At 42.5% G+C, this 23021-nt stretch overlaps 1 protein-coding gene and 1 pseudogene across 2 annotated transcripts in view, besides 1 other annotated feature; one reads left to right on the top strand and one right to left on the bottom strand.

The window, feature by feature from the left end:
• Nucleotides 1–23021, top strand: part of ZNF44 (zinc finger protein 44) — a 70198-nt gene that overhangs the window by 45111 nt on the left and 2066 nt on the right. The window contains exons 4-7 of the transcript XR_007066867.1: nt 1095–7066; nt 11769–12321; nt 14865–15106; nt 19258–19313. The gene's annotated coding sequence lies outside the window, so the exon portion shown is untranslated. The remainder of the gene's footprint in view (nt 1–1094; nt 7067–11768; nt 12322–14864; nt 15107–19257; nt 19314–23021) is intronic.
• Nucleotides 11126–23021, bottom strand: part of LOC100289333 (uncharacterized) — a 43633-nt pseudogene continuing 31737 nt past the window's right edge. Inside the window, exons 2-3 of the transcript NR_171708.1 lie at nt 14949–15060; nt 11126–12683 (exon numbers count right to left, since the gene is read on the bottom strand). The product of NR_171708.1 is annotated as an uncharacterized LOC100289333, transcript variant 2 (transcript). The remainder of the gene's footprint in view (nt 12684–14948; nt 15061–23021) is intronic.
• Nucleotides 16979–17808: an enhancer, noted in NCBI's record as "NANOG hESC enhancer chr19:12342780-12343609 (GRCh37/hg19 assembly coordinates)". NCBI's record gives its function as "activates a minimal SCP1, AML or CMV promoter by ChIP-STARR-seq in naive H9 embryonic stem cells {active_cell/tissue: H9 hESC(naive)}" and the evidence as "EXISTENCE:reporter gene assay evidence [ECO:0000049][PMID:30033119]".

The raw sequence follows: 23021 nt of genomic DNA, 5'->3' as shown, positions 1-23021 counted from the left end.
CAAGACCAGCCTGACCAACATGGAGAAACCCCATCTCTACTAAAAATACAAAATTAGCCGGGCATGGTGGCACATGCCTGTAATCCCAGCTACTTCGGAGGCTGAGGCAGGAGAATCGCTTTAACCCGGGAGGCGGAGGCTGCAGTAAGCCGAGATTGTGCCATTGCACTGTAGCCTGGGCAACAAGAGTGAAGCTCCATCTCGGGAAAAATAAATAAATAAAAATAACCCAAAGTGCTTTCTTTTCTTTTTTTTTTTTTTTTTTCTGAGACGGAGTCTTGCTCTGTCGCCCAAGCTGGAGTGCAGTGGCGTGATCTCGGCTCACTGCAAGCTCTGCCTCTTGGGTTCACACCATTCTCCTGCCTCAGCCTCCCGAGTAGCTGGGACTACAGGCGCCCACCACCACGCCCGGCTAATTTTTTGTATTTTTAGTAGAGACGGGGTTTCACTGTGTTTAGCCAGGATGGTCTCGATCTCCTGACCTTGTGATCCGCCCGCCTCGGCCTCCCAAAGTGCTGGGATTACAGGTGTGAGCCACCACGCCTGGCCCCAAAGTGCTTTCTTAAATATGGCATAGATGTTCATGGTCCAGGCGCGGTGGCTCCCGCCTATAATCCCAGCACTTTGGGAAGCCGAGGTGGGTGGATTGTGAGGTCAGGAGTTCAAGACCAGCCTCGGCAACATAGTGAAAAAGTAGCCGGGCGCAATGGCAGGTGCCTGTAATCCCTGCTACTCAGGAGGCTGAGGCAGGAGAATCAGTTGAACCCGGGTGGCAGAGGTTGCAGTGAGCCAAGATCGCACCACTGCACTCCAGCCTGGGCGACAGAGTGTAGCCTGGGTGACAGAGTGAGACTCCGTCTCAAAAAAAAAAAAAAAGAGAAACCCATATATGAAAATCACTGTTTTCATAACAGTTATGTTTGAGCCCTCTTGCAGGGCCATAGCATTCAGTACATTCACCTCACAAGCAATTTAGACAGGACAAAAAAATCTGTACTTTCCCTGAAAGTGGAAAAAATAGTTATTCTAGTATCAGTTAATAAAGAGAAAATCTTTAAAAAATGAACTATTAATGTGCTACTCATTTTTTACAGAAATCATATGGTAGAGAGACTCTGTGAAAGTAAAGAAGGTAGTCATGGCGGAGAAGGTTTCAGCCAGATTGCAAATCTCAGTCTGAACAAGAAAACTCCTTCTGGAGGAAAGCTTTGGGAAAGCAGTGTATGTGGAAAAGTCTTGAGCCATCATTCATCCCTTAACAGGCACATTAGATCTTACACCAGACACAAACTGTATAAGTGTCAGGAATATGGAGAGAAGCCATATAAATGTAAGAAATGTGGGAAACCCTTCAGTTATCTGCAGTCTTTTAAAAAACATAAAAGAACACACAGTGCAGGGATAGTCTACAAATGTAAGGCCTGTGGGAAAGCCTTCAGTTGTCAACGTTCTTTCCAAATACATGGAAGGACTCACACTGGAGATAAACCCTTTAAGTGTAAAGAATGTGGAAAAGCATTCCGATACCACCAATCTGCTCAAAAACATGAAAAGGCTCATACTGGAGAGAAACCCTACAAATGTAAGGAATGTGGGAAACCCTTCATTTACCGCCATTCTGCTCGAGCACATGAAAGGAATCACACTGTACAGAAACGCTATGAATGTAAACAATGTGGAAAAACCTACATATCTTCTGTAGGTTTTCAAGCACATGAAAGAACTCACACTGGAGAAAAACCCTATGAATGTAAAAAATGTGGGAAAGTGTTCGTATATCACAACTCTGCTCAAAGACATGAAAAGACTCATACTGGAGAGAAACCCTACAAATGCAAGGAATGTGGGAAAGCCTTCAGTTACCACTGTACTGCTCAAAAACATGAGAGGAATCACACTGCACAGAAACACTATGAATGTAAACTGTGTGGGAAAACTTACTTGTCTCCTTTAGGTTTTCAAGCACATGAAAGTACTCACACTGGAGATAAACCCTTTGAGTGTAAAAAATGTGGAAAAGCATTTAGATACTACTACTCAGCTCAAAGACATGAAAGGACTCATACTGGAGAGAAACCCTACAAATGTAAGGAATGTGGGAAAGCCTTTTATTGTTGCAGTTCTGCCCGAAGACATGAAAGGATGCACACTGCAAAGAAACAGTATGAATGTAAAAAATGTGGGAAAACATACATTACTCTTGCAGGTTTCCAGATACATGAAAGAACCCACACTGGAGAGAAACCTTATGAATGTAAACAGTGTGGTAAAGCCTTCAGTAGTTCCAGTTATATTCATATACATGAACGAATTCATACTGGAGAGAAACCCTATGAATGTAAAGAATGTGGAAAACCCTTCAGTTTCCTTACAGGCTTTCGAGTGCACATGAGAATGCACACTGGAGAGAAACCTTATAAATGTAAGGATTGTGGCAACGCCTTCATTTGGCGTGCATCCTTACAATACCATGTGAAGAAAGTGCACGCTGAATAGAAACTATAAATGTAAATATCGAAAGTTTTTCAATTTTAACGATTTTCAAAGTTGATATGAAAGTTCATACTGGAGGGTAGTTGCATGAATGTAAGTAATACAGGAAAGCCTGATATAACTTAATTCAGGTAGAATGCTCTAGAAAATTCATGCCATGAAAAAATATTATAAATGTATTTATCAGTGCCACATCCCTTTTTGATTCTTCCTAGTTTTTAATATATTTTTATTTTAAAATATTTTTATATATGTATATATATACGTATATATTTGTAGAGACAGGCAACATTATCTTGCCCAGGCTGGTCGCCAACTCCCCTGACCTCAAGTAATCCTCCCACCTCAGCCCAGCAAAGTGCTGGGATTATAGGTATGAGCCACCACACTGGGCCAGTTTTTTTGTTTTATTTTTTTTTTTGAGATGGGTCTTGCCATGTTGCCCAGGCTGGCCGCGGACTTCTAGGCTCATGAGATCCTCCCACCTCAGCTTCCTGAGCAGCTGGGACTACAGATGTGTGCTGCGTTGCCTGGCTTAGTGCCACATTCTTAAAGTGGATCTCTGCACTCTGGGTTCCTACTTATTTTCATAAATGAACATTGAGGTGAGATTATTCTGTAAATACTCTTTAAGAAATAGTGCAGAAGTATAATTGGTAGTGTTTTTTCCTTAAGTCAGTTAATAAAATTTTTAAATAAAATTCCTTAAGTCAGTTAATAAAATGTTTTAATAGTTCTGGGCCATTGAAAAATGACAGTTTGGTACTGGGAGTTTTCTACTGGCATCCTGTGGCAGGTATTGGCTTTCCCTTATCCATTATATATATATTCCACCTTCCTCAGGAGAAAACCTTTCTTCTTTTTGGTTAGAAGAGCCTTATTTTATTTCCCTTGCTAATGAATAGTGGGCCAAGGTTATACAATATAGTCTTATATACATTATTTCCATATTTTGCTCTTTTTCTTTCTGGCCAAGATATGGATGATAGACTTTGAATTAAGAAGTAAGATCTGTGATAGGACAACACAATCTAGGTTGGAGGTGTGCCTCTTAGATTGTGCTATGTGATTATGGGTAACGTGAACTAAATTTTCTAGAATCTATTCCCTTTTGGATTCCATGCTGGAATTCAGCAGTAGCCTGACATGAAAGTTGGAAGGCAGAACTGAAGAAGGCATTAGTCAGGTTTTGGACCCATCTGCGTGGAGACAGACAGATGCATAGGGACAAATGAGGGCTTGCAGGAAAATCCAAACTGCAAATTATATCTTTGATGTGAAGATGGTGGAGACATCTGTGGAACTCTACCTGTCTGAGAAAACAGAAGTAGACAGTGGTGTTTTAAAGAAACTCTTGATTGTCAGGACAAAGTATCAGGAAAACAGGCAGGAGGCCGGTGTCCACGCAGTCCCCTTGCAGCCTTCTTAAGTTCTGCCTCCCAGCTTTCATGTCATTAGGCTATTGGTGAATTCTAACATGGAAAAAAAAAAGATTCTAGAAAATTTAGTTAACAACATTACCCACATCAACATAATCCACCAGGCAACTAATTAAAACTGTCATGGTTGAGGATATTTTCTGTTGTTCTGACTCCCCTCATCTCTAGATTATATTCAAACAAGATCTAATTTGCATAGTAAACACTTCATTCTGTTAATACTGGTAATAACTGTGTTCCTGATTTCCCTGTGACAGCTACAGTGATACAGTCACATAGAACAACATGGGGGCTTGTTCCTCTGTTGCATTGTGCAGTAACTGCTCTGACACAGTCTATGTGAAAACAAATGTCTTAGGTCAGGCAGATCGTGAGAATTTCCAATTATAGCCAAATGTGATCATGTGCACATTCTCAATTATGTTTGTACATGATAAAAACAATGCATTTTTATCAAACAACTTCTGCAGGTATTTCTTAGAAATATTTTATTAACTCTTTTAAAACAACTTGTATACTAACAACTATTGTATTAATATTTTCCATTACCTGAGAATATATATTAAAATATCCCATTGCAATTATGCATTTTCAGGTCAACTTTGTAATTTTGTCAGGTTATTCATTATACATTCTAAATAATGAGTCAGTATTACCATTTGCATATAAGTCCAAGTACTTTTTTTCTTTAAAAAATGTTAAAGAAAATGTAAAGGAAAAAATTTTTTAAAATTCTTACATGGTCACAATTTTTCTCATGAATCTAATTTCTCATTTAGAATACCACAGGAACAAAGCATGCTTTTGTCTGTGCCATCTTGCCAGAGACCACTAGAATCACACCTATAGTCAAAGAGTGGCATGTAAAGAGTTGTAATAAGGATGAACACAAAGCATCAATGACGGAGGGTTATCCATAAGAGGGTGCTCAAGAGGACTTCTTATAGGATTTGTGTTTCTTTTAGGTGATTTCATTGCCATTCAACAAAGTGAGGTGTTTGTATTGGATGCTGTTAGGTGAACTCAATTCCATCCTTGGAAAATTCTAATAGTTCTTATCTAGGAGGCAGAAAGAATAGAGTGGCACTAACACTAATTCATAAGAAGCACAAGTCATATTAGGAGATTTCTGGTCATTTTTAAAGTTTGGAGTCTGTTTTCTTTTAGGTTATCGGAGACATGGTTACAGAATTTCATTTTGATCCATTATGGTCACCTGGTAGCTTTGTCTGATGGAGGTTTGTTACAGTTTTCAACAGGGTAAGACTTCGCCTTGTGGTGAGTTGGGGAGCAGCTGTCATTGGGAACAGCTTTTGCTTTTCTCATTATTTAAACACTGAAGTATTTCCTGTGGTATAATGGACACTGTTATCTATAAAGTACCTCAGTTAAATTGTTGACCAAAATTAAGTCTGTTGAGGCAGAATAATTTGATAAAGGCTAATCAAAGCCAAATGTGAGGATTGGCCTGGGACGCACCAACAAGTTGTATATGTTTCAAAGTCTATTACAAGTTGGAACACTCATAAGTTTAGGAGGCCAGGTGCCGTGGCTTATGCCTATAATTCCACGTACTTGGGAGGAGTGCCTGAGGCTAGGAATCTGGGACCAACCTGGGCGACATAGGGAGACTTCATGTCTAAAATAAATAAATAAATAAATTATTAGCTGGGCATAGTGGTGCCCAATTGTAGTCCCAGTACTCAGAAGTGTGAGTCAGGAAGATCGTTTGAATCCAGGAGTTCGACACCAACCTGGGTAACATAATGAGACCCCTCTCATCTCAAAAAACTAACAAATTAAGAAAAATAGACTGGTTTCTGCAAGGGGTAAAAACAATAAGAAAAAATAAATTTAAAAACCCTGAGTGGACATTTTTTTCAAAGAAGACATACAAATGGCCGGAAAGCAAATGAAAAGGGACTTAATATCACTAATCATTAGAGAAATTCAAATCAAAACCACAATTACATGTTACCTCATACATGCAAGGATGGGTACTATCAAGAGAGATTAGTGTTAGAGTACAGAGAAAAAGGAAGCTTTGTATACTGTTGGTGGGAATGTACATTGGTACAGCCATTGTGAAAAACAATATGGAGGTTCTGCAAAAAAAAACAAAAACTACCATGTGATCCAACAGTCTCACTCCTGGGTATATGCATATATGACCAAAGGCAGTGATCAGTATTTCAAAGAGATATCTGCCACTCGCATATGTTCATTACAGCATTATTCACAATAGTCAACATATGGAAACAAACTTAGCATCCATTAATGGATGAATAAAGAAAGTGTGATGTATATTTAAACAGAATATTACTCAGCCGTAAAAAGGAAATCCTGACATTTGTCACATGAATAAACCTGGTGGACACTATAAAATAAGGCAGACATAGGCAAATACTTCATGATCCCACTTAATTGTGGAATATTAAAAACTTAAACTCCGAGGCAGAGGGAGGAACGGTGGTTACTAGAGTCCAGAAGGTAGGGAAAATGGAGAAATGTTGGTCAAAGGTTAAAAACCAAGTTGTAAGGTGAACACGTTCTGGAGATTTAATGTACAGCATGGGTGGTCATCAATGTGTTAATTTGACTGTGGTAACCATTACAGAATGTATATATATACATCAAAACATAACTGTACATCATGAACATATACAATCTTTGTGAAGTATTTTAAAATAAAAAAGGAATGTTTACTGAATCTACGCCTGTTGGATCTTTGTATTACTGAGAAGTGTTGAAGTCTTCAGTTAACTGTGAATTTTTCTGTGTCACCTTGCAGTTCTGTGTGTTCTTGCATGACGTATTTTGGCAATTTGTTAAGTGCATGTATTTAAAATTATGTCATTTCTATTGCTGGGTCTTAATTTCTTCCTGAAATATCTGATCTGGTTATTCAATCCAGTGCATATTTTATACCAGGCATTGTTGTTTTCCTTTCTAGTAGCTCAAATTGTGTCTTTAGTTTTTAATTTTTTTTCTTTCAGACAGGGTCTCCCTGTCACCCAGGCTGGAGTTCAGTAGTGTTCTCTTGGCTCACTGAAACTGCTGCCTCCCAAGCAAATGATCCTCCCACCTCAGCCTCCTGAATAGCTGGGACTACAGGTGCACACTACCATGCCCAGGTAATTTTTTAAATCATATTTTTTTTTTTTTTTTTTTTTGGAGAGACAAGGTCTTACTATATAGGTCTTACTATATTGCCCAGACAGGTTTCCTGGGCTCAAGGGATCTTCCTGCCTTGGCCTCTCGAAGTGCTGGGATTACAGGTGTGAGCCGTGTGCCAATGTGCCTGGCCAGTTTTTAATTTTTTTTTTTTTTTGAGCCGGAGTCTCGCTCTGTCACCCAGGCTGGAGTGCAGTAGTGCAATCTCGGCTCACTGCAAGCTCCGCCTCCCAGGTTCACGCTATTCTCCTGCCTCAGCCTCCCGAGTAGCTAGGACTACAGGTGCCCACCACCACGCCCGGCTAATTTTTTGTATTTTTAGTAGAGACAGGGTTTCACTGTGTTAGCCAGGATGGTCCTTGAACTCCTGACCTCATGTGATCTGCCCACCTCGGCCTCCCAAAGTGCTGGGATTACAGGCGTGAGCCACCGCACCCGGCCTTTAATTTTTTTTAAGGTCAAATATAGTAACATAGAATTTACCATTGTAAGTATGCCATTCAGTAGCATTAAATACATTAACAGTGCTTTAGAACCATCACAGCTAGCTAGCTAGTTCCAGAATTTTTTCATTAGTCCAAAAAAAAATTGGTACCCATTAAACAACCATTCCCTATTCCTCCCATCCCCATCCCTTGGTAATCTCTATTTTCCTTTCTTGCTCTATGAATTTGCTGATTCTAGGTGCGTCATGTAAGTAGAAGCATGCAGTATTTGTCCTTATGTGTCTGGCTTATTTCACTTAGCATAATGTTTTCAAGGTTCATCCACATGTTAGCATGTACCAGTAATTCAGTTTTTGTGCCTGAATAATATTCCCAAGTGTGGTATATTGGATACACCACACTTTGTTTATCCATCCATATGTTGAGCACTTGGGTTGTTTCCACAAAACTCTTTTGACTACTCTGAATACTGCTCTAAAATCAGTGCGTATGTGTCTGAGTCCCTGCTTTCCATGGTTGATTGATTGCAACGGAGTCTCGCTCTGTTGCCCAGGCTGGAGTGCAGTGGTGCGATCTTGGCTCACTGAAACCTCCACCTCCCAGGTTCAAGTGTTTCTCCTGTCTCAGCCTCCTGAGTGGCTGTGATTACAGGTGTCTGCCACTATGCCCAGCTAACTTTTTGTATTTTTAGTAGAGACAGGGTTTCACCATGTTGGCCAGGAAGGCTGGTCTTGGACTCCTGACCTCTGGTGATCCACCCACTTTGGCCTCCCAGAGTACTGGGATTACAAGTGTGAGCCACCGTGCCTGGCCTCTATTCTTTTAGATACATACCTAGGAGTGGAATTGCTGGGTCACAGGGTTTTCTATGTTCATGTATAGCCATACTGTTTTTCACAGTGGCTGTGTGTAAAATTCTCCCCAGCAATACACAAGGACTGCAGTTTCTATGCATGCTCACCAACCCTGGTTATATTCTACTTTTTGTTTTAAATGGCAGCCATTCCAACAGTTGTGAACTGTCACTGGTGTTTTGATTTACATTTCCCTAATCACCAGTGGTAATGAGCATTATTCCATGTGGTTGTTGGCCATTTATATATCTTTGTACAAATGTTTTCAAGTCCCTCACTCATTTTTGAATGGGCTCATTGGTTTGTTTTGTTGAGTTGTAGGAGTTCCTATGTATTTTGGGTATTAATCTCTTCCAAGATACGTGATTTGCAAATATGTTCTCATTCTGTATGTTGTCTTTTGGTGCACAAAAGTTTTAAATTTTCATGTAGTTCAGTTTATCTTTTGTTTGCCTGTGCTTTAGATTTCATATCCAAGAAATGATTGTTAAATCCAATGTCATGAAAATTTCTCCTATATCTTCTTCTAAGTCTTCTATGGTTTTGGCTTTTAAGTTTAGATCTTTGACTCAAAATTAATTTTTGTATATAAGGTAAGGGTCCAACTTTATTCTTTAGAATGTAGATACCCAGTTTTCCCAACAACATATGTTTAAAGACCATCCTTTCTCCATTGAATGATCATGGCACTGTTGTCAAAAAATCATTTGACCACATATGCAAGCATTTTCTTTCTAGGATCTGTGTTCTGTATGTCTGTCCCTACACAGTACCATGTGGTTTCGATGATGGTAGTTTTATAGCCAGTTTGAAATCAGGAAGCGTGAGTCTTTGAACTTTTTTTCAAGATTGTTTTGGTATTAGGGGAGATTCCAAATGAACGTTAGGGTTGATTTTTTCTAGTTTTTTTTTTTTTTTTTTTGAGATAGAATCTCACTCTGTCTCCCAGGCTGGAGTGTAGTGGCACAATCTCAGTGCACTGCACCCTCCATCTCCTGGGTTCAAGTAATTCTCCTGCCTCAGCCTCCTGAGTAGCTGGAATTACAGGCACGAGCCACCACACCCGGCTAATTTTTTGTATTTTTAGTAGAGACGGGGTTTCACCGTGTTGGCCATGCTGGTCTTGAACTCTTGACCTCAAGTGATCTGCCTGCCTCAGCCTCCCAAAGTGCTGGGATTACAGGTGTGAGCCATTGTGCCCGGCCTAAAAAGAAGGCCATAAGGATTTTGATAGGGGTTGCATTGTATCTGTAGATTAATTTGGGTAGTATGCTCATCCTAACAATAGGAAGTCTTACAATCCATGAACATGGGATTACTTGCGATTTATTTGTCTGTTCTTTAATTTGTTTCAGCAATCTTTTGTAGTGTTCAGTGTACAAGATACAGGCCTCTTGGCTGAATTTTTACTGTTTTTGGTGCTTTTGTAAATGGAATTGTTTCATTAATTTTCTTTCAGACCGTTTATTGTTACTATATAAAAACGCAACTTGGGGCTGGGCACGGTAGCTCACACCTGTAATCCCAGCACTTTGGGAAGCCAAGGCGGGTGGAGCACGAGGTCAGGAGTTCCAAGACCAGCTTGGCCAACATAGTGAAACCCCATCTCTACTAAAAATACAAAAATTAGCTGCGTGTGGTGGCATGCGCCTGTAGTCTCAGCTACTCAGGAGGCTGAGGCAGGAGAATCGCTTGAACAGGGAGGTGGAGGTTGCAGTGAGTGACACCACGCCACTGCACTCCAGCCTGGATGACAGAGTTAGACTCTATCTCAAAAAAAAAAAAAAAAAAAAAAAAATGCAACTTGGGCTGGGCTTGCTCGGTGGCTCACACCTATAAGCCCAGCATTTTGGGAGGCTGAGGCAGGAGGATCACTTGAGGGCAGGACTTCGAGACCAGCCTCAGCAACATAGTGAGACCCCCATCTTGTTTAAAAAAAAAAAAAAAAAAAAAGGCCAGGTGCAGTCGCTCACTCCCGTAATCCCAGCACTTTGGGAGGCCAAGGCAGGCAGACCACCTGAGGTCAGGAGTTCAAGACGAGCCTGGTCAACATGGTGAAACCCCGTCTATACTAAAAATACAAAAATTAGCTGGGCATGGTGGTGTGCACCTATAGTCACAGCTGCTCGGGGAGGCTGAGGCAGGAGAACTGCTTGAACCCGGGAGGTGGGGGCTGCAGTGAGCCGAGATCACGCCACTGCACTCCAGCCTGGGCAACAGAGCTAGACTCCCTCTAAAAAAATCTGTTTAGTTCAGGTTTAGAGAAAGACTTGTTTGGGTTGTCTTCTGGAGAATGGGTTTATGATTTTGACAGTTTATTTAGATCAGAACCTTAAGCTGATTCCAGGTGAGAGTTTCCTGCTGGTGAAAATTAAGGTCCTGAAGGAGGGAGCATTTCCACACTGAGGGGACAGGAACTCACAGACTGATCCCCTCTGGGGCTGCGTTACAGCAGTCAGAACCTGGCTCTTAAGGTTGGGAACGTGATTCATTTTCTGAATGCGGCTTTTCCTTGTGAAGGAGGATGCTTATCTGAGCTAGTTAAAATGTTTGCTGTTCTTCCCATTTTTTGAAATGAAGTCTTACTCTGCTGCCCAGGCTGGAGTGCAGTGGCACGATCTCGGCTCACTGCAACCTCCGCCTCCCGAGTTCAAGTGATTGTCCTGCCTCGACCTCCTGAGTAGCTGGGATTACAGGCACGTGCCACCATGCCCAGCTATTTTTTTTTTTTTTTTTTTTTTTGAGACAGTCTCTCTCTGTTGCCAGGCTGGAGTGCAGTGGTGTGATCTTGGCTCACTGCAACCTCTGTCTCCCGGGTTCAGGCAATTCTACTGCCTCAACCTCCCGAGCTGCTCTGACTACAGGCACGTGCCACCACGCCCAGCTGATTTTTTTGGTATTTTTAGTAGAGACAGGGTTTCACCATGTTGGCCAGGATAGTCTTGATCTCTTGACCTTGTGGTCCGCCCGCCTTGGCCTCCCAAAGTGCTAGGATTACAGGCGTGAGCTACCGCGCCTGGCCTAGTTTTTGTATTTTTAGTAGAGAATGGGGTTTCACCATGTTGGCCAGAGCGGTCTCAAACTCCTGACCTCAGGTGATCCTCCTACCTTGGCCTCCCAAAGTGCTGGGATTATAGGGTGAGCCATCGCGCCCGGCCCCTTTTGATTTCTTTACAGAATATTGCTGTAGTATAACTTTTTTCCATGCACTTAATTTTTGTTCCCTTGTTGGCATATTTCATTTTCTTCCCTGAAAATGGGTAGACTGAGATAAGGTATGAGGAAGCCTTGGCCATGCCACCAGCCGCTTATCCCAAATTCCTGATCCCTGGAAGACATCTGGGCTCTCCCTCCTGTTCCAGCCCAGTAGCTTCCAGCAAAGGTACTGGCTCAATTGGACACGGAGTGTGGAACTGCCTGCTCACACTTGTGAACCCCCGTCCAGAAGGAAGAAACAGAAAGGGCCCAGTGAGTATAGGAAGATGCCAGGGCCCACTGTGGAAAGCCTGGAGCCAAGTTTTTCTTAAATGCAAATGTCCCCAGTGTGGGGTCACGTCCAAGCTCCAGAAGGAAGCCTGGCCTGGGCGGGGGGGTGGGAGGGCTGTTGCTAGAACCTGTCAATCCTGCTCCACACTTCCGAGTTTTCCGTGGCTTCTCCTGAAACCCGGGCCTAGGGGGTGGGGCTTGATTCCTATCCTAGGGGTACTGGGCGGGGTCGTGTAAATTATCCAATCAGGCGCTCCGCCAGGAGGGTGGGGCCAAGCTCCGCAAGTCTAAGGGGCTCCTGTTCCCCTAACCCACTGAATTCAGCCTTCCAGAGGCCGAGGTGGCTCCACCACAGCTTCTGTCCGGTGGTGACCAGCACTGATCTCCGGAGCCAAGGGAGGACCCGGGACACCTGGGAGCCGGGAAATGGTGAGTGTGCAAGGCCGGGTGGGAGGAGGGGCTGGTTGGGACCTGCTGTGGTGGGACCCGGGCCTGTCAGCAGCGATTCCGGGGTCTGCGGACCCGAGTCTCCCTGGCGCAGCTCGTCCCTGGGTCCCCTCGGCCACAGGGTGGGGCTGGGCCAGCAGCCGGGACCCCGGGCATCCTGAGCCGTCCCTGCGCAGCAACTGCAGCCTCAGTCCGGAGCCCTCTCGGCAGCGCAGTGCCCGCGGCCCCGCGTCTCCCCAGATTGTGTGGGGGCCACGGGAGGATCATGGCGAGGATCCAGACTCATGTGTGGGGTTCTCCTGGGAGGAGCTGCGGTCTGTGGGGTTCCCAATCCTGCCTTTCACCTGTAAAAATTAAAATGCAGCACCGTTAAATATTTAACTATTTAGCCAAGAGCAATTCATGAATAACCCAACCATGGCTTGTTCTTTGGGGTCCCGTCAGGGGGGCTTGAAGGAAAGGCTTTTATAAGGTGTATGAGGAAGCAAGCCAAGTTAAATCTTTGGTTATAAGTCGCCTTATTTGGTCTGTCAACCAAAGGTTAAAAAAACAGGCGTTTTATTCTAAGTCAAGTTTAAGGACAATAGCCTGGGAATGCAGACCCAGCACAAACAATGTGTCCTGGAGTGGGCTACGTGAAGTGTTATACCTTGTGTTACACAGAAAATGGGAGAGGTGGGCAGTGACCTTATAAGATAAAGCAAGTATGTGGTGAAAGTATATGAAAGGTTAACCAGTACACAGGCATCGCAGGGTTTAGACAGGGATGATTGAATCTGTCCTACCTTCGCTTCATCTGATAGGCAAGGTTGTCATCAGTACAGGTCAGTGAAATATTTAACTTGCAGGCTGAGAGTTCAGTTTTATTTCATGGGCCTGGTTTCTATTACCTGTATGTCCAACCTGCAGCCATCTTAGGCCACTTTTTAACAAATTTCTTTCAGTTCTTCCTATTTCTGACAGGTCTATCCAGGTGGAAATGTTCTGGTTATGTAGTCGGAGGCTAAACTTCATTTTCCTCTAAATTGGTAATTTACAAGCTACATTTGTGTCCGATTTTGGTGTCCTTGGGAAGCAACTCAGGGCACTATAGCCATTCCAGTCTGATTGCCTCTTATTTCTTTTAACACTCCCCAGGGGTACCGATTTTCTCGTGTATTTGTTTGCCCTTGCATTTTCCAAAAGTGTGGGACGCAGGTCTCAAATCCACAATTCTGTTTGCCGAACTTAACCCTTCTAGGGTTTGTATGAATTCCTAAATTTCCAATTCCTTCCCCACATTCCCAAGTGCCAACTTTGCTTCATCGATTCAAAATATTATCAACTATTTGTCCTTTATTGTACATTTCAAACAGATGCAGTACTTTATCATTTTTTTCACAGAGCGATAGCTCTTTTTAAAATATTTTTCTGTTTGTGAACATTTCACATGAGGAAAACAGAGTAAGTGCATGAAACTCGGGTGCACTTACTCTTTTGTGCCTCTCCTCCTTTTATCTTCCCTAGGCACAGACACCTTACCAGAATGTCTTTGGATTGAGGTTCCCTTTTGGAAATTTTATAGGGTGATCTGTCCCTGTTCCTGGGTTTTAGAACTTCCTGGGGTTGACCCAGGATACTCACAGTTGCCAGGTATCTTGGAGGATCTAGTGAATATCAGCCTCTGGTTCACTCCCAGAGGACAACCTCTGCCTGCTGGGCTCAAGCAATCTTTTCAGCCTCTCAAAGTGCTGGGATTACAGGCATGAGCCACCGCACCTGGCAATTTCTGAATTTTGAATCAGCCTTGTACACCTGTAATGATTCCCACTTGACTGTGGTGTATAATTCTTTTTATACATTTTTAGATTCAATTTGTGAATATTTGTTGAGAACTTTTAGGATCTATGATCATGAGAGTTACTGGTCTATAGTTTTCCACCTTTGTAATGTATCTATCTAGTTTTGGCAGTAGGATTCTGTTGGCCTCCTAGCATGTATTAGGAAGTGTTTACTCTTGTATTTTATAGAAAGATTGTAGTGAACTGGTGTCGGTTTTTTTGTTTTGTTTTGTTTTTTTCGAGACGAGACGGAGTCTCGCTCTTTCGCCCAGGTCGGACTGCAGTGGCGCGATCTCGGCTCACTGCAAGCTCCGCCTCCCAGGTTCACGCCATTCTCCTGCCTCAGCCTCCCGAGTAGCTGGGACTACAGGCGCCTGCTACCACGCCCGGCTAATTTTTTGTATTTTTAGTAGAGATGGGGTTTCACCCTGTTAGCCAGGATGTCTCCTGACCTTGTGATCCGCCCGCCTCTGCCCCCCAAAGTGTTGGGATTACAGGCATGAGCCACCACGCCCGGCCCCAACCAATCTTTTGTACCCTGTGTAAATCAGACACTGCCTCCTCAAGCTCATCTATAAAACTGCATTTCACTGTGGGAACAGCAACCCACTTCTCTGAGACCCTTCTCTCTGCAGCAGAGAGAGCTCATGTCTTTCTTTCGCCTATTAAACTTCTGCTCAGAACCTCTGTTTGTCCATGTCCTAGTTTTCCATGGCTCCGAGACAATGACACCGCTTCAGTGTGAACTCTCATGAATTGAGTCTAGATCCCCAGTGCTGTCCGTCTCACCTGTCCTCCTCTACACATATCTGGGATATGTCACGGCTTGGTGGTCTTTGAAGATGTGACTCTGAACTTCATCCAGAAGGAGTAGGCTTTGCTGGATTTTTCCGTGAAGAATCTGTAGAGATGTGATGAGGGAAGCCATCAGCACCTGGCTTCTATAGGTGAGGATACTATTTTTTTCCTTTAGTCAATTAGAGAACAAGTGCTTTTTGGCCATCAGTGCTGTTCCAAAATTTGGAATGTGGAAAGGAGGTATTTTGATGAATTGATCAAGCATGGCTGCAGTGCACAATGAACCTACAATCCAGTAATTTTTCCATGCTTTCTAAATGATAATGATTTTTCTCGGTCTACATTTTAGGAAACAAATGGCACAACCAGAACATTAAAGATCAATAGAAAAAGCCTGGGAGAAATCTAAGGTGATTTGCCCTCACAAGAGGAAAATCCCTTGAGGGGATCTTTGCATGTTATCAATTTTTAAAACAAAATTTTCAACACAAATAATATACTTACTGTAACATAGATGTTGAAGTATTTATAACATACTTCACAGGGAAACAGAACTAAGAAACTTCATACATGGATGTTATTATTTTTATAATAGCTATGGGGGAGCCTTGTTGCAGAGTAATCAGTGCATTTACTTTCAAACAATTCATACATGGCAGAAAACCTGCACTTTCTGTGATACTGGTAGCAATGTACGTTCAAAACCTATTAATGAACCACTAATAATGGGCTTGTCATTTTTTTTTTTTTTTTTAAGACAGAGTCTCACTCTGTCCCCCAGGCTGGAGTGCAGCAGCGCGATCTCAGCTCACTGCAACCTCCGCCTCTTGGGTTCAAGCGATTCTCCTGCCTCAACCTCCTGCGTAGCTGGGATTACAGGTGCCCGCCACCATGCCCGGCTAATTTTTGTATTTTTAGTAGAGACAGGGTTTTATCATGTTGGTCAGGCTGGTCTCGAACTCCTGACCTCATGATCCACCTGCCTCGGTCTCCCAAAGTGCTGGGATTACAGGTGTGAGCCACTGCGCCCAGCCAGGCTTGTCATTTTTTACAGTAGTCATTACATTAGAAAGATTGTGAAAGTAGGGTAGTTGGTGTGGAGAAACCTTCAGCTAGATTCCAAATTTCAATGTGTTTAAGTCATGCTCTTCTTTGGTTCTGTGAACATATTTATAATGTACACTTTGAAGTATTTTTCGATTAAATTTGCTATCTGTTCTCACAGGCAGTTTCTATTGTCAGGTTTTTTTTTTTTTTTTTTTTTTGATGTATGGGTTGTACTTGTTGCAAATTGGACATTTTTGATAACATACTGAACCTTCTCAAGTATGTTCAATTTCTCCGGGCCTTGTTATTGTTATTTGCTTTGTTTTGTTTAGAGACCGATTGGACTATTTTGGTGAAGTCTATTTCTGTAAGAGTTAAAGAGGAAAGAAACACAGCTTGATGGTTAAAGACAGGTTTATTTTAGAAACAATCTGAAGGGCTTCTGGCCTATTTTGGTCAGGAGCACTTTTTCTTACAGACTAAGAGTATATATTGGTTTTAGGGTGAGGGGGCTTATTACAAGCTTGGAATGTCTCTGGGCAGAGGGGAGGTTATTTTGGGGCAGACATCTTTCTGGCCGGAGGGGGGTTTCTCAGGGCTGGCATCTTCCCAGCCAGAGTGAGGGTTATCTTGGTGCATGTCTCTGGTCAGGGAGGAGTCTGGAATGTTTTTGGTCAGAGATATTATTTGTGGTTTATGGTCATGCTGACCTTAGCCATTAGGCTGATGCCCTTTGGATTTAGAGTTTTTGATTAAGGTGAATTTTAAAATGAGGTGCTTGTCCACGATGGCGATGCTCTTGCTCTGTCAATTTCTTCTTCATAACTTTAAGTCTCTGATATTGCTCTTGAGGGGAGGGGAAGTGGCTCAGCTTTGTTTCTGCCTGCAGTCATCCTGGCATGACAATGGTACTGTGGGAATCTCTTCCTCTCTTGGACAGCCCTCAGATGTTAAACTGCACTGATTGCTGGCTGATGGTGTGGGGAAAAGCAAGAGAGATCAGATTGTTGCTGTGTCTGTGTAGAAAGAAGTAGACATAGGAGACTCCATTTTGTTCTGTACTAAGAAAAATTCTTCTGCCTTGAGATTCTGTTAATCTATAACGTTAGTCCCAACCCCCTGCTCTCTGGAACATGTGCTGTGTCAACTCAGGGTTAAATGGATTAAGGGGGGTGCAAGATGTGCTTTGTTAAACAGATGCTTGAAGGCAGCATGCTCGTTAAGAGTCATCACCACTCCCTAATCTCAAGTACCCAGGGACACAAACACTGCGGAAGGCCGCAGGGACCTCTGCCTAGGAAAGCCAGGTATTGTCCAAGGTTTCTCCCCATGTGATAGTCTGAAATATGGCCTCGTGGGAAGGGAAAGACCTGACTGTCCCCCAGCCCGACACCCGTAAAGGGTCTGTGCTGAGGAGGATTAGTAAAAGAGGAAGGCATGCCTCTTGCAGTTGAGACAAGAGGAAGGCATCTGTCTCCTGCCTGTCCCTGGGCAATGGAATGTCTCGGTATAAAACCCGATTGTACGTTCTAGCTACTGAGATAGGGAAAAACCGCCTTAAGGCTGGAGGTGGGACATGCGGGCAGCAATACTGCTTTGTAAAGCATTGAGATGTTTATGTGTATGCATATCTAAAAGCACAGCACTTGATTCTTTACTATGATGCAAAGACCTTTGTTCACGTATTTGTCTGCTGACCCTCTCCCCACTATTGTCTTGTGACGCTGACACATCCCCCTCTTGGAGAAACACCCACAAATGATCAATAAATACTAAGGGAACTCAGAGGCTGGCGGGATCCTCCATATGCTGAACTCTGGTTCCCTGGGTCTCCCTATTTCTTTCTCTATACTTTGTGTCTTTTTCTTTTCCAAGTCTCTTGTTCCACCTAACGAGAAACACCCACAGGTGTGGAGGGGCAACCCACCCCTTCAGATAGCTCTATTGTTCTCAAAAAAGTCCAGGGACAAATTTGCCCTGTAAATCCAAATATGTTTTCTCTCCTTTCTAACAATACTATCTGAGATCAGCGTTTAATAGTTGTTTGTTTAGATGCTTAATGGACTCCTCCTAACAGTGTTTTTTTCCTGGTTTTGTCCACAAATTAGCTGGCCTACAGTGCAGGCAGTATCTTCATTAAATCCACAAATCTCCTGTGAATTGTCTTTCACCTCCATTTCCCCATTTCCACTGCATCAAGGATGGAGTGCCCTTTGACTTAAATGTCTCATGATCTGTTGCAATTGAAGTTAATTCTTAGGCAAGAGGTTAGGAGCTATGTGTTTCACAGCTTGCTTCTCTTCCACCTCAAGGCAAAATCTGACAGGGCTCTGAAGCTTGGGTAGGAGCGTTGGCAAGCTGCTTTCTGAGTAATCCTCTCTCTTTAGGAACTGAGTGTTCAGTGGCGGGGAGGGACAGCAGCCTGATGTCCTCTTGGCCTGTGTCCTGGCATGGATCCACCACCTCTACGAGCTGAGGCAAAGTTGATCAGTGTCCTAGTAGTCTGAGTGCACCATACTCACAAACCATGTCCCCACTTTTCAAACATACCCACACAGGACATAACCTCAGTAATGGGTAGGTGGAGGTAAGATGAGAAAAGCTGAAGTTCTGCCCTTCCTGGAAAAAAGCCTTTGACTAGAGGCTGGGTGACCGAGTAGAAGCATCACCATCGTGGACAAGCACCTCATTTTAAAAGTCACCTTAATCAAAAACTGCCTAAATCCAAAGGGCATCAGCCTAATGGCTAAGTCAGCATGATCATAAACCACAAATAACATCTCCAACCAGAAACATTCCAACTCCTCCCAGACCAGAGACATGCTAGCCCCAAGATAATCCACCTCTGCCCAGAGACATTCCAACGCCCCCATAAACTTCTCCCCTACACAGAAACATTCCAAGCTTGTAATAAGCCCCCTCACCCTAAAACCAATATACACTCTTAGTCTGTAAGAGAAAGCACTTCTGACAGAAATCAGCCAGAAGCCCCTCTCAGGTTTTTTCTAAAATAAACCTGTCTTTGACTGTCAAGCTGCATTTCGTGTTTCTTTCCTCTAACTCTTACATTTGGTGCCGAAACCCAGGATGGGTGCTGGGGGCAGAGGCTCTCCTGCAACCCAGGAAGCAGTGGGCAACAGCAGCTTGTCCTGAGTTAATTCCTGGATCCTGGAGGTCTCTGGCCACCACTCGTTGTCTTTTTATTCAGTTCACTTTTCTCTAATCCTCCCTTTTCTCTCTCTCCCTTGTGCAGCTGCAGCCCAAGAGGCCAACTGGAACGTTAACATCAGACACTAATCCAGCTGACTGGTAAGATCTGCCCTCCCCTGGCTTTCTCATGGTATCTGGAAAAAGTCAGGTCTGCCATCTCGGTCCTCAGAGGACCAGTGGGACTAAGCTAGAGGAAATCTTGGGGATGCCCAGTTTCTTCTCAGCTTGACCATCCTCTTTAGAAAGAGAACTCCAGGTCTCTGTCTTTTGTCTGGGGACGCCTAGAACAAAAACAGACACCCTCGGCTTCTTCTTGCCAGTCCACATGGGTGCCAAACAATCCCACATTCCCACACCCTCTCCACTGTGCTGTCTCCTTCACAACCTCGCCAAACTTGGCTTAAGCATGTAGTCTTTTATTGTAACATGGCCTGGCCCCAATACACATTAGATAATGACAGCTGATGGCCCAAAAATGGCACCTTTAGCTTGCAAATTCTCAGGAACCTTAACAACTTTATAACCAAGAACAGCAAATGGCAAGAGGTTCTCTATATTCAGGCTTTCTGCTTCTACTTTAAATCCCAACGCTCCCTGTGTCAAGTTTGCACCTCTCATAAAATCTTTCTTCCTAAATCTTTCTTCCTGGCTGAGCGTGGTGGCTCACGTCTATAATCCCAGCACTTTGGGAGGCTGAGGCGGGCTGATCACGATGTCAGGAGATCGAGACCATCCTGGCTAACACGGTGAAACTCCATCTCTACTAAAAATACAAAAAATTAGCCGGGTGTGCTGGCGGGCACCTGTAGTCCCAGTACTTGGGAGGCTGAGGCAGAAGAATGGCGTGAACCTGGGAGGCAGAGCTTGCAGTGAGCAGAGATCACGCCACTACACTCCAGCCTGGGTGACAGAGCAAGACAAAGTCTCAAAAAAAAAAAAAATATCTTTCTTCCTAATGAAAACCCTCTCCAGGTCTTTCCCTCCTCCAAGCTATGAGTATATTCAAAAGGCTTCTCTTCATAGATCTTGTTTTCCTGGAAAAGGTTTTTTCCCAGTTAACTGAATTACTTTTTTCCACTCTGTCTTGCCACTCTTGGTGCATGTATAAAATCCTAAAACGGTTTCTGGTGGCCTGGGATCCCTTGGGAAAACAGAAAAGGCACCACAAATCCCATTTTGGGAAAAATCTGTTTTCCTTATGGAACCCCTGGAATTAAAGGTGAATAAGTACCTCTCAAAATCTTTGTCTTCCAGCTCTACTTGTTTATTAGGCCCTGGAAACTGTTTTCCTAGCCCTGTTCTTAAAGGGCACCACCCAAAGGCCAATAAGCCAATTGGGAAATTAGGAGAAAAAAAATATTGTAACTACTGAATCTTCTTCTGGTTGTCTGTGTGGTTATATATGTGTTATGTGTGCAATGTCTATTAAAGGAACTCTAATTATAATTGGCAAAAAAAATAAGTGCTTAAATCAAATATTTTTAAGGGAAAAGTAAAAGCTGTGGGATCTTTCAGTTCACATGACTTTAATCTTTAAAACTTACTGGTACAGTAAAGTTAGAACTGTCTTAAGAGTTACCAGCATATGTTTTTGTTTGCATTTATTAATCAAGCAATTTCATTCTTATCTCTGCCAAATACTATAAGGTATCAAAACAAACAAAACTATGACTCAGCCCAAACAAAATAATCTTTGTATAATTTTTTAATAAGTGAAACATTAATATTGGTTTAATGAAAATAGCTACATCCTAAGCCATTTAATATCCTAACTTCTAATCTTATGGACTTAGGCAGTCTAGTCCACAGGCATGAAGGAAGTTTGTTTTGGGAAAGGACTGGTATCTTTTATATTAAAAGATAATTTATATTTAAAAATTTTATATGGTAAATTTTTGTACTAAAGTAAATTAACTGGTTGTTTAAAGAGAGAGATGTTTACAACAAGTCAGAAAGTTGAGGCATGTCAGACTGTGAAAGGCATGAAAAATTTTATAAATGGAATTTATGCAAGAAATGTACAATTTAAAAGTGATTAGGCCTCCTGACTGCTTTATAAAATGCCCCTATAACTCTTACCTGTACAACTTGCCTGCTTTGCAGCTAGGTAAAACCTAGGACACACGGAATTAAATGCTGGACTAAGCCAGACCTTATCTGCACAGAAGTCTAGGTCCTAGGCTCTACACCTAGTACATAATTAAAATCCCAAACTTACCAAGGTTTTCAACAAAAGTAAACTTTACTGAAAGTTAATTATGTGGAAAGTGTGTAAGGAAAGTAAAATACACTTTTGGTAAAAAGATTATAAGGAGGCATGAGAATGTGGATTTTTACCTACATTAAAAAGTTAAACAATTGTTTTGAAGGTTTAAAAAAGTTAAGTTAAACAATTGTTTTGAAGGTTTAAGCACGTTTTGGCAGGTTAATTGTAAAGGAAATTCTGTGTAAACATATTGGCTAAAGTTGAAGGGGTAGCATCTAGTTTTTCTGTAAATTGAGCATTAAAATAAAAACACAACGGGTTTCTCTTAAGCACTAACCTGCTTTTTAACAAAAATTATAAAGGGTTAAAAAGGGTCTATAAAAATCTTACCTTATGGTCAAACATTAAAATTGAGTAAATGCATCTACAAGGTTTTATTAAAAATGGAGTTTAATATTCATAGCACACTACTATAATGGTAAAATTTGGCATATTTGGTATAAAATCATACAGGAAGCATTGTCAAATACAAAATGGTGTTTGGCTTTCTTTGGGCTATATTTGTATAAGTATGTTATTGGTATGTGTTTCAAAGTTATGGGAGACTCCTATAATTCTGACATATCTTAGTGTACCTTATAAGTAATAATTATAATTGTTATGTTAAAATTATTGTGTGCCACAAAGGTAACAGATATCCTTGTCAATTGCGTCTTTAAGTATGGCTATTCTAAAACTTTTTTTCTGAGACGGATTTTCACTTTTGTTGCCCAGGCTGGAGTGCAATGGCACGATCTTGGCTCACTGCAACCTCTGCCTCCTGGGTTCAAGCAATTCTCTTGCCTCAGCCTCCAGAGTAGCTGGGATTACATACAGGTGCACACCACCACACCTGGCTAATTTTTGTATTTTTAGTAGAGACGAAGTTTCACCATGTTGGTGAGGCTGGTCTGAAACTCCTGACCTCAAGGTGATCTGCCTGCCTTGGCCTCCCAAACTGCTGGGATTACAGGCATCAGCCACCACGCCCGGCCTATCCTAAAACTTTCTGTCATCCATAAACAATTGTTGTCTTGTTTTGGTCCTCTTTAAAAAGGTGGTTTTATAATCAGCTATAAAGGTCTAACAGGTGCCCTTGAATGCAAGTTTCTGAAAATTGTGATATCACAATAGAGGAAAAACGTTCAGAACTCTTAAAAAGCTAAAATGTTAATATGAATCAGGACAGGAATTAACTGCATGAACTAAACTGCAGGAGACTGGAGTGATCTTTTTTGTTTGTTTGTTTTTAAGACAGAGTCTTGCTCTGTAGCCCAAGCTGGAATGCAGTGGCATGATCTCGGCTCACTGCAGCCTCCTCCTACATTCAAGCGATTCTCCTGTGTCAGCTTCCCAAGTAGCTGGGATTACAGGCGTTCGCCACCACACCCGGCTAATTTTTGTATTTTCAGTAGAGATGTGGTTTCCCCATGTTACCCAGCTGGTCTTTAACTCCTGACCTCAGGTAATCCACCCACCTTGGCCTCCCAAAGTGCTGGGATTACAGATGGGACCCACCACGCCCAGCCTGGAGTGATCTTTTTAACGTATTGCTTAAAATA

The sequence above is a fragment of the Homo sapiens genome, chromosome 19, assembly GCF_000001405.40.
Source record: "Homo sapiens chromosome 19, GRCh38.p14 Primary Assembly".
In the NCBI taxonomy this organism is placed as follows: domain Eukaryota; kingdom Metazoa; phylum Chordata; class Mammalia; order Primates; family Hominidae; genus Homo; species Homo sapiens.
This window is presented reverse-complemented; position numbering and strand designations above follow the sequence as displayed.